This window comes from Homo sapiens, chromosome X, assembly GCF_000001405.40.
Source record: "Homo sapiens chromosome X, GRCh38.p14 Primary Assembly".
NCBI lineage: Eukaryota > Metazoa > Chordata > Mammalia > Primates > Hominidae > Homo > Homo sapiens.
This window is the reverse complement of record NC_000023.11, coordinates 15,585,835-15,598,061: the sequence shown is the minus strand read 5'-3', so window position 1 is coordinate 15,598,061 and position 12,227 is coordinate 15,585,835. Positions and strand designations below refer to the sequence as shown.

The 12,227-nt window shown below is 37.9% G+C and overlaps 1 protein-coding gene across 5 annotated transcripts in view; it reads left to right on the top strand.

Annotated features, from left to right (window-relative positions):
* Positions 1–12,227, top strand: part of ACE2 (angiotensin converting enzyme 2) — an 89,015-nt gene that overhangs the window by 9,150 nt on the left and 67,638 nt on the right. For all 5 annotated transcript variants that reach the window (NM_001386259.1, NM_001389402.1, NM_021804.3 and 2 more), the window contains 5 exons: positions 3,059–3,217; positions 5,740–5,833; positions 6,206–6,349; positions 8,606–8,718; positions 10,204–10,309. In NM_001386259.1, coding sequence (NP_001373188.1) covers positions 3,059–3,217; positions 5,740–5,833; positions 6,206–6,349; positions 8,606–8,718; positions 10,204–10,309 — 616 coding nt within the window. The remainder of the gene's footprint in view (positions 1–3,058; positions 3,218–5,739; positions 5,834–6,205; positions 6,350–8,605; positions 8,719–10,203; positions 10,310–12,227) is intronic.

Genomic DNA, 12,227 nt, shown 5'->3' with positions numbered 1-12,227 from the left:
AATGATATTAAAAGAATAGCTTGGCAAGGAATAATACCTCCTCAGGGGCCAAAATGCAAGGCAACACAAAGTGATTTTTTTGGTGATATAATTATAACACATGTAGTATGGTAGTGATAACTAAAATAAAATTGGATAGCCTCAAAATTCCTACATGTAGTATGATAAACAATGTTCTAAGACTGAGGCCTTTGGGAGGTAGTGAGTTATTTCCTATAGATAGAGAGTAAAATTATTCCTATAATTTGGTATGAAAGTTTTACCAGAAATTTTGCTTCACAGTAAATCATCTGGATTGGGTGAAGCCAGGTAGGGATTGAGAAGTGAGTCAGGTGGGTTGCATAGATGAGTTTGTGCTGCAGACCAAACTCCTCTTCCCATAGCTCACTTCTTCCCACTCCTGCATGTTAGAGAGAAGACTAGAATGTGTCAAATACAACCTATAGGATAATAGTTCAGAGCATTAGCTTCGGAAGTAAACACTAGGTTGATGCCCTGGTTCTTCTAATTTCTAGCTGTGTGACCTAGGGAAAGTTACCTGCTGTGTGCCTCATTTCCCTTATTTGTAAAGTTGAGACAATAACAACTCCCTCACAAGGTTGTTGTGAAGATTAATGAAAAAGCAGTTTCTGAGAGGTTGTGAGTGTTCAGTAAAGAAAGAAATTGCTTTCCTTTTTTTTTTTTTTTGAGACAGATTCTCATTCTGTCATTCAGGCTGGAGTGCAGTGGCGTGATCATGGCTCACTGCGCCTCGACTTCCCCAAGCTCAGGCAATCTTCCCACCTCAGCCTCCTGAGTAGCTGGGACTACAGGTGCGAGCCACCACACCTGGCTAGTTTTTGTATTATTTGCAGAGATGGGGTCTCGCCTTGTTGCCCAGGCTTGTCTCAAACTTCTGGGCTCAAGCGATCTTCCCACCTCAACCTCCCAAAGTGCTGGGATTACAGGCATGAACCACTACACACAGCCTATTTTCCATTTTCACTGCCATTATTTTCTCTGTCTCTTGTGTGGCTCATTACTGCCACTTCTGTGCACCATTTCCATCATGTCACATGCGTAGTCAAAACCCTCAGTGACTGCCTAATTCTCAGAGGGTAAAAGTGAAATTCCTTGGCCTGGAAAGTGCAATCATGCCTGAAGTTCTACCTGTGGGAGCTGTACTAGTTATCTATTGTGTAAAAAGTTACCACAAGCTTAGCAGATTAAAACAACACATATTTAATATCCCACAGTATCTGTGGGCTAGGAGTCCAGGCACAGTTCAGCTGGATCTTCTGCTTCTAAGTCTCATATGGTTGCATTCAAGGTGCTGGCTAGAGCTATGGTCTCTTCTGAGGCTTGACTGGGGATGGATATACTTCCAAGCCAATGCAATTACTCAGAGGCCGTCTTTAATTATTTGCCATGTGGCCTTTTCCATAGGGTAGCTCACAACGTGGCATCTTGCTGCAACAAGTCAGCAAAGGAGAGAGTCTTCTATCAAGATTAAAGTTAAAATCTTATGTAACGTAAACATGACATCCTGTCACCTGTGTTGTATGCTATTGGTTGAAAGTAAATCACGGGTCTGCTCATACTTATGGGGAGGGGATCACACAAGGGTGTGACCACCAAAGGCAGAGATCATGGGAGCATTCTTAGAGTCTGTCTGCCACAGGGCCAGGATCAAATGCTGGTGGCTGATTGCCAGCTCCACTGTTTATTTCTCTCAGCCGCTTTCTGTATGTACAAAAAAGGAGAGAGAGTGATTTTCTACCTCATAGTGTTGTTAAGAAAATCAAATGAGGTAAATTATTTTGCAAAGTATTCTCTACTCATCTGACTCCTACCTACTTTCAGGTCTGTCTTAAGTTGCAACTTCTGCATGAGGGCTTGGCCAAGTATGGTCACCTGCATGAATTTCCTCTTTCTTGTAACAGAAACTGCTTGGCCCACTCATAATTTATACATTATTATATACTCTTATGTTTCATTAATGAAACATTTATAATGCATATCTTATCTGTCTGATAAAATGGAAAGCAATCTAAGGACAACGACTTTTCCCCTATACATAACAAAATATAAAATAAATCATAACATAATAAATAATAAATAAATAATAAAATAACTAACATTTGTTGAATGATTAGGATGTGTTAGGCACTCTTGTAAGCATTTCATTTTTTTGTTACTTCTTCAAATCCTTACAACAGTCCTTGGAGGTAAGTCCTATTATTACTTTCATTTTGCAGATAAGACAACTGTGGCTCAGAGAGGCTAAGGTACTTGAGTCCAGGAGCAGAATTCTTACTTTCCTCAAACGTTATCTCTTTTGTGTGGTCTAGGGCAGTACAATATACCAAGTAGTTGCTCATTTTGGTCTTTGGTAAATGGAAATGAATTTGTAAGTTGAGAAAAGACTACACTACAGTAGTTTGGAGAAGTCCACTTTCCAACTGATGTTCAAGATTCAGGAGGGGGGGAAATGTGTCCTGGCATCATCACTTGCTTGATGATTTCTTTTGCTGGTAGAAAATCACCATGGCTACCAATGGCCATTTTCTGGGAAGCCTTTTTTGGGAATCCTAACTTAAGATCAAAATCCCTGGGCTAAGTCACGGCAGCTAGGAGGTTACTGTGAACCGGTTCTCATTTCTTATGGTTTCCATTGTTATTAGGGGGCTGTATTCTCATTAAGTCCACTCTGAGCTCTACTGGATTCTCTTTTTAGAGCACTCGTCTTTGAATTCTTGGCCAACTCATCTATGTCACAGCACTAAGGCTATAAATTCCAGGGCCCCACAATGTGGATTATCTGTGAGAATTCATTTCCAGTTCTGGGGACAAGACCCTTGGGAAAACCAGGCAATAGGCCAGAGAGAGACAGAGAGAGAGAGAGTGGTCAAAAGTGGCCTGGTCACTCTTAACCTAAACCTTGACCTTCAGCGGAGTAGAGGACTAAATCACTCAGGAAATATTAAATGTTTCACCAGATATTATTTGGACTATATCTTCTGTTCTATCTCTTCAAGCAATGCCATTCCAACTTCAATTTTCTTTTCTGTCATTTCAGAATAATGCTGGGGACAAATGGTCTGCCTTTTTAAAGGAACAGTCCACACTTGCCCAAATGTATCCACTACAAGAAATTCAGAATCTCACAGTCAAGCTTCAGCTGCAGGCTCTTCAGCAAAATGGGTCTTCAGTGCTCTCAGAAGACAAGAGCAAACGGGTACGTTTGTGAACATTTTAGCATTGATCCCAAGAGTTGAAATATTTGGGAAATATTAAACATTAATATCACCCACAGCAGCTGCCTTTATTTGAAAAAATAGTAATGCTGATGTTAGAAAAATCTCTCTCTATGCCTAGGTAAGGTGTCCATATAATTTATTATTCAAACTGGAATCTTTGAGAGTGAAAGACACTGGTAATTATTATATTCAAACACAGAGTTAAACTGAGATTGTCCCTGGCACTGTGGTGTGTATGGACACCCCCTAGTGTTAGGTCACCTTCCTGAAGGATCAGGCAGCCTGAAGAATACAGTTAGTTTATGTCAGTGGTTCTCAACTGGGGGTGATTTAGCCCTCCGGGGATATTTGACAATGTCTGGAGACGTTTTTGGTTGCCACAAATGGGGATACTGTTGACATCTAGTGGGTAGGGATGCTGCAGAACATTTCACAATGCATGGGATGGCCCCCAACAACAAAGAATGATCTTGTCCACAATGTCAACAGCAAACTTTTTTTTCTGTAAAGGAACAGATGACAGTAAATATTTTAGGTTTTGTGTATTTAGGTATTGTCTGTGTTGCAACTAGTCAACTGTGCTGTTGTATCAGGAAATCAGCTGTAGCTAATATATAAATGAACAAGTATGGCTGTGTTCAAATAAAACTTTACAAAAACAGGCAGCAGACAGGATTTGGTCTGCAGAACACAGTTTGCAGACCTCTGATATAGCCTATTGAAATATTTTTAACCTAAAATATTTAGCTATTTAAAAAGAAAGTCTTCTTTCTCAGTTGCTTGTCCTCTGGAACTTTGTATGTTCTAATCTGTGAATATAAAAATAAAAATGCATCAAAAAGGCAAAGATAAAACCATGTGAAATGTATCTTTCTACAAGTTAACATTTATTTTTCTGCATTCTTTGGGTCCAATTATCCAACTAATTATCAATGCACTTTACTTTATCCATTCTATGTTTCTCCATTTTTTCCCCCAACAAGGACACTATAAGAAACCTTGCCCATTCGCATATAGACAATCTGGTCTAGCCTAGGTGGAACCTAGAAATTCTATTTTTTAAAAAATCCCCAGATAATTCTAATGTGTAGCCAGGACTGAAAACCACTGAAATGCATGTAAGAGCTTAAAGTGTTTGGGAAGAGGAGGGACTCAAGGTTGCTTAGATTTGATGGAGAGGAAGCCGTGGAGATTGAAGAAGAGCTGGAGAGAGACCATGAGGGGTTTTGTGCCATGGTAAGGAATTTAGGTTTGTTCCTTTGGACTATGGGATCGTGTGGAAGTTTTAAACATAGGATCTATTTCATGTTTTAGGATGACTCTCAAGGCAGAACCAAAGGGAAATAGGAGAAGGAGAAACAGATCCTTTAATCCAGTGCTTCTTAAATCAATCTGAGGGAGAGAACCATTTCCTTCCTTCCTTCCTTCCTTTCTTCTCTTCTTCCTTCCCTCCTTCTCTCCTCCCTCCCGTCTTTCCTTTCTCCCTCCTTTATTCCTTTATTTCCAATACATTGCAGATCAATACTTGCTTAAGTTCATTGATTACATGCTTAGATGTCATGGAAATATCAAATTGTTCTCCAAAGTTTATAAACTTTTATTCTCTTAATTCCTGTACTTATCACAGAATGGAAACAAACTGTCACTTGCACTGGTCCACGGATTACACCTGGAGTAGCACTGCTTCACTATATCACCTTCACTTTATCTGCAGGGTAAAGTTTAAAAACTTTGGTATGGCATAGACGGTCCCTCGTGATCTGGCCCCTGCTTGTCTCTCCATTCTCATGTCTTTCATTTCCCCTAATGAACACCATTGCTCCAGTTTCATTCAACATCTCACTGTCCCCTGAGAATGCCTTGTCTTTTCCAACCTCCTTCCATCTTTTAGACTCTTCCCTCTACCTCCCTTCTCTACATGACCAGTGCCTACTTCTTCTCCAAGACACAGCTCTTATCTTCCCTTCTCTTTGGACCCATTCTTGAATCTCCTGGTTATTAGTTATTAATTTCTCCCTGCTCCTATACTACCGCATCACTTTTTGGTGACAGTTATAGCACTTGTCATTCTGTTATGTATTAATAGTTATTGATTTCATGGCTGCCTCACTGTCCTATGACTTTATGGTCTTTGACTTGTTCACTTCAGAATTGTCAGAGTGTAGGACATATTCCAGGTTCAATAAATGCTGAATGAAACAAAAAATGCACCTCTCTGTGTATGTGTGGATAAGAAAACTTCTTTGGGTTTTGGTAGATCTGGTTATTTCAATTACTCCATATATATTTATTATGTGCTTATAGTACTTTGTGCTAGTCGACAGTGGGGAAACTTAACTGGGCTATTCCTTCTCCACATACAGAAAGATACATGGCAAAGAAGTAAATTGCTGTATTTTGAGTAATCAAAAAATCATGTGGTCAAAAGGATATCTTTATATTAGCATTCTCTTCAGCAAAATTTCCATTGTTAACATTGTTTATTATCTTTAATTTGCAGTTGAACACAATTCTAAATACAATGAGCACCATCTACAGTACTGGAAAAGTTTGTAACCCAGATAATCCACAAGAATGCTTATTACTTGAACCAGGTAGGCTACTAATTTTTAGTAGTGATTATGAAATTTACTTTTCTCTCAGATTTTAAAAATGATTGCAGATATGTGTGTTTCAACACATAGATGCTCTTTTAACTTTTAGTAAAACTTTCTTGTAAATTGTATCACATTTACTTAATTTGATCAAGTCAGTAAGTAAGTCATTTCAGTGGTTTATTTTCTCTGCAGACATATTTTGGAACTATAAGGGCAAGGACATGAATGAATCATGAGATTTTATTTAACCACTTTATGACCTGATGTCTGCCAACCTTACTTTTAATTCTTTAAAGTTCATGTAGTTCTTTACAAATAAAATTTTTACAAAGGCATCTTTTCTTGTCTTTGTGTGCTTTGGGATAACAGGTTTGAATGAAATAATGGCAAACAGTTTAGACTACAATGAGAGGCTCTGGGCTTGGGAAAGCTGGAGATCTGAGGTCGGCAAGCAGCTGAGGCCATTATATGAAGAGTATGTGGTCTTGAAAAATGAGATGGCAAGAGCAAATCGTAAGTTTGCTGATCTGTAGAGGTCCTGAAGCTCTCTGTGTGGCCACGGGGCTATTTCTTCTGCATTACCAAGCCTGCCCTTTGATATCAGGGATACCCCTCAATTAACAATCATGTCCTCAACAATTCAGATTACCTGTTTTCAAAAGAAATTACTGGGGAAAAAGAAAAGGTGCACTGGCATTCTACAATTCAAGAAGCTCAAGAATGAGACTCAACTACAAGGCCTAAAGTAAATTATCCAGGAATTATGAATTATAAGTAATCTAGGAAGATCTCAGGCCCCTAAAAGTTCCCGAGGGAGTCTGGGGATTAAGGGGGGGAATCCCATTTCTCAGGATGAAAGACAGAGTCACTGCCTTTTGTCTAAAGCCCCCACAGTTCACTTTCAAAGGTCATTTGTGTGTCTACCTTAGGGTGATACCCCAGAAAGAAAAAATATCAGATTAGTTTAGGCTGGAAATGTATTATTTTCTGCAGTTGTAATTATATCTCAGATTATGTGGTCATAAAAAATCTTAACATAGGAAGGAATTTCCATATCTCTTAACTTATTCTCTTCCCTGAATAGTGAGCTGAAGTCATGGAATCATGATTCACATTTTGCTTTGATGATTTACTGCCCACTGAGGTTGAGTAAGGAAGAATTTTTTTCCCGCATTTGTTGTTTTAACATTTCTTTCACTGCCACTTAAATTCAGTATTCTTAAGCCTTAGGCAAGCTGGAGACAATAGCTTATCACCATTTTTAAAACAATATCCTGCATGTCCTTTCATCCAAATATTTATTTCTCTCCTCATCTTCCTGATCATTAATTGCCAATGTGAATGTAAAAATAAAAATTATTAAATTATGTTTACAAACTTTATTAGCTAATATCCTGACACAAGCTTGTGTTTTCTGATGGTGAGATACTAAAGGAAGCACATAGAAACATGCTATTGATACATATAATTTGCAAACAAACACAGGTTCACTGTGGCAAAGTCTAAGATGAGTTGGGTCTGATCTAAAAATAAAAGGCCATGAACAAAAGAAGAATTTAAAAACTTAGAGATCCAGTCACATATTTTAAAGCTAAAGATACAAACTGATGTATCAAGAGAGTACACACCCAGGGTTAAGAGACTAGGAATGTGCTTCTTTCGCTTACCAGCTGTGTGATCTTGGACAAGTGATTTAACCACTCTAAGCACAGGTTGTTGGTGGGAATATAAACTGGTGAAGCTGTTATGGAAAAATAGTATGAGGATTCCTAAATAAATTAAAAATAGAATTACCGTATGATCCAGCAATCCCTCTTCTGGGTATATACCTAAATTAGATGAAATTACCACTTCATAAAGATATCTACACTGCCATGTTCACTGCAGCATTATTCGCAATAGCCAAGATAGGGAAACAACCTAAGTGTTTGTCAAGGGATGAATGAATAAAGAAACCGTGGTGGGTATATGGAATGGGATATTATTCAGCCTTAAAAAAGAGGAGATCCTGTCATTTGCCTCAACATGGATAGACCTGGAGGACATTATGCTAAGTGAAATAATCCAGACATAAAAAGAAAAATATGGCATCATCTCACTCAAAAGTGGATTCTACAAAAAAATCAAATATACAGAGATAGAGTAATAGTGATTACCAGGGGTGAGGTGGAGCGGGGTGGGATATGGGGAGAAGTGGGTTAAAGGATACAAAGTAGCAGATATGCAGGATGAACAAGTCTAAAGATCTAATGTACAACATAAGGACTGTAGTTAGTAATAATGTTTTGTATTCAGGATTTTTGCAAAATGAGTAGATTTTAGCTGCTCTTCCATGGGGGGGATAATGCTTAACTATGTGAGATGATGGATATGTTAATTTGTTTTACTATAGTAACCATTTTATTATATAAGTATCTCATAACATCATGTTGTACACCTTAAATATACACAATAAAATTTATTTAAAAATAAACATAGGCTGTTACTCTGCACAGTGGGAGTTATAATAATGACAATCTTGTATGGTTCTTGTGCTTATTAAATAAAATAATACATTTAAACTCCTGGCACAGAGCAAGTGCTTAAACAGAGATTACTTAATGTTATTATTCATTTGCATCCCTTTGAGTTGATGTTTATCACAATAAAAATGTGATAAGCCTTTAAATTTCTTTTAACCTCCCAGCAAGGCTAATCTATGTATTTTGTGCTTTCTCTCTTTCTTTCCCTTATGTTCTTCCCTTTCTCTTTAAAAAAAAAAACAAACAGATTATGAGGACTATGGGGATTATTGGAGAGGAGACTATGAAGTAAATGGGGTAGATGGCTATGACTACAGCCGCGGCCAGTTGATTGAAGATGTGGAACATACCTTTGAAGAGGTAAGCAAGGAACTGTACACACAAACAGTTGTGGGGCAGTGTATGGGAAAGAGGGACAGTGACTAAAGGCATTCTGGCTCATTCTTAACACATTGGTCAGCCATTCCCAGGCCTCATAAAGTTATGGAATATTAGAGTTTGAAAGATTTTAGAGAATAATAGGACAGCCCCTACAGATGATCAGAATTGCGCTGCTTTCCTCCTTCTTTCAGTCACTGACCATTAATTACCAATAGAAAGACTATAAGAATGAAATATTATAAGAACAAATGGTCCTTTAGATTATAAGTAGGAATGATCTTCTTGAGCTACCTGGGGCTGGCACTGTCTTCCTGTGTTAGCAGAGCTATGGACTTTGCTTTCTTCCTCAGGACAATTGATACTATTACTTTGAGTAAGCTAGTCTTCATAGGGAAGAGAGAGTTTTGTGAACAGAAATGTCCCATGGATGTTTTTCCTTCATTTTGGCCCCATGCCTCCCCTTTACGTGAACCTTCAAACTTCTGATGTGAGTTACCTTGTCACAGCCATAGTTTGGCAGAGCTATCAAAAATGGAAGTAAGACAAACAACTCCCCAAAAAGGAAATGGGAAGAAGACTTGAATAAGTACATCATCAAAGAAATTACACAAATGGCAAATAGGCAAATAAAAAGTTATTAGGGAAATGCAAATTAAAGCTATGATGAAAATCCACTCCACACCCACCAGGATAGCTATGATTAAAAAGATGGACAATACCAAGTATTGGGGAGAATGTGGAGACACTGGAGCCCTCTTACAGTGCAGGAAGAAATGTAAAATGGGGCAGTCACTTTGGAAAACAGTTTGGCGATTTCTTAAAAAGTTAAACACACACTTACCATGACTCTTAGGTTTCTATATGAAATAAATGAAAACATGTGTCCTTATCCATAGAAAGACATACACAAATGTTCATAGCAGCAATATTCATAATAGCCCCAAACTGGAAAACCCAGCTGTCCTTCAACTAGTGAATGAATAAACAGACTCTGATATACTCAAAGTAGCCGGAGATAGGAGTGGAACTGACTACAAGAAACCTTTTGTGGTTATAGAAATATTAAAAAACTAGATAGTGGTGATGGTTTCCCGGTAGTTTTAATTTATTGAAACTCATGGAACTACACACTTGAAAATGGGTGGCTTTTATAGTATGTAAATTATACCTCAATGTAAAAACAAAGGAAGTAGGTAACAATCTTAAAAATGAATATATATTTTTTGCATCTGCTTTTATTTTGGGACCTGTGTTCTCCCAAGTATGTTTATTGGTTTATGCAGTGGAGTTATCATCAAGTTCTAGGAAGAAGGAATACTTTTAAATTTTCCAGAAATTTGAGAGAAGAAGAATTATAATTTGGGGAAATTCTACTTGTTTAAAGAATCTCCTATTTCTAGTGTTGTGGAATGGAAATTAGAATTGGTTACTCTTTGTCTTAAACTTTCTTCCTGGGCTTTTCAGATTAAACCATTATATGAACATCTTCATGCCTATGTGAGGGCAAAGTTGATGAATGCCTATCCTTCCTATATCAGTCCAATTGGATGCCTCCCTGCTCATTTGCTTGGTAAGAAGCCCCATGAATTCTTCGTGTACTTGGCTCTTTGTTATTTCTAACAATAAAATTGCCTTTTTGAGTGAGCCTTAACATAAAACTTTTGAAAAATTCTGTAAGTGGTTAGTAACATTGTAGAAATCGCATTTTGAAAGCATTTTCTTCAACCAAAAGTCTATTTTAAACAATTCTCTATTGTATTACTTTTTTTGTACATAAAGAGTTATTATTTTGGCTGCAATTCAAATGATAAAGGGGTTATTTAAGATAACTAGAGAAAGAATTACAGGCTCAAATGAGAGTGGAAATGGGGAAAATAATTTTTAGTATTCAAGTTGATTGGCTAAGCTCTTAAGGTGGAATTTGAGATTTTAGTATCATATTGTCAGAGCTTGGTTGGCTGGGGGTGGTCAGGGGTAACAGAAGGTTATAGCTTGAGCGAAAGCTTCCTAAGTTCATTCTAGACTTCACCAATTACTCTTGCTGAAAAGTGCTTGGCTTGGAATCGTATAAGTGAAGAATGAATGAAAGTGACCATCTTCCCCTCTCCCACCGCAGCAGCTGAGGCCAAATAAAATATAAATATTTGAAAATTTCATGCCATGCATATATAGCATTTCTACTGTAGTCAAACTAAGTTGCTGGAAGCTAATCTCCTCCACAGCCATACCTCGTGTCTGTCAGCAGGAGAGAATGCGGAGAAAGGACCTGTGGAGGCTTTTAACTCTAAAGTAATATGGAAATCCTTCCTACAATGTCAATGGCAAGCATTATTTAGTAATTCAGTTTCTGCTTAAACCTGTCTGGTGTGATGGGATAATTTCTTCATTCCAATATAGACTAATTTACTGCTACATGGAACCAATGTAATACAATTCTACCTTATGTGGAACTTAAGCAACACCCCTCTGATGCCTTCCATTCATTAGCCCTATTTCCATGCTATGAGGTTACCCAGAATGTCAATTCCTATTCTACAAGATGACCTTCCAGATATTCATAAAGAACCATCATATAAGATACAGCATAGTACCTGGTGCAATACATTTTAGTGACTATTATTGTTATTGTCATGTTTACCCTATTTTCTTTTGTCAAGTTAAATATCTTATACATTATCAACCATTCCTTAAAACCTCACTTTTCTATAATTGTTCTCCTTTCAATGAGCTGTACTTTGTCAATGTCCCTCCTCAATTATCATGCTTAGAGATGAACAGTTACTCCAGATGAGGTTTGACCAACATAAAGAAAGACATGGTACCATGACTACCTTTGTTCTAGACACTATACTTCTATTGATTTAGCTCAAGTTCACATTTATGCTTTAGAAGCCAGGTCATACTGTTTGTTGGCTCATTTTTGGTCTTTTACATGTGGACTGTGCTTTAGCCTGATGTCACATATATGTTTTTATGATGGATAGGTTTTTCTTTAAAATTTAAGCATAGGACTTCACATGTATCACTACTAAATTTTATGTTTTAAAATATAAGTTTAGGGAGTACTTTTATTTTTTTCAGAGTCTCGCTCTGTCGCCTAGGCTGGAGTGCAGTGGCTGATCTCAGCTCACCGCAACCTCTGCCTCCTGGGTTCAAGCGATTCTCCTGCTTCAGCCTCCTGAGTAGCTGGGATTACAGGCTCAAGCCGCCATGCCCAGCTAATTTTTGTATTTTTAGTAGAGACAGGGCTTCACCATGTTGGCCAGGCTGGTCTCGAACTCCTGATCTCAAGTGATCTGCCTGCTTCAGCTCTGCAAAGTGCTGGGATTACAGGAGTACTCTTCATGAAGTTTGTTGCCCCATTTTTTTGGCACCAGGATTCTGGTCCTGCTCTTGGATTGACTTTTTCTAGATACATCTTCTTTTTTATGGTCCCTGGCCTTGGAATACAACTTAACATTTGTTTGAGATGTTTACAAAGTCACCAA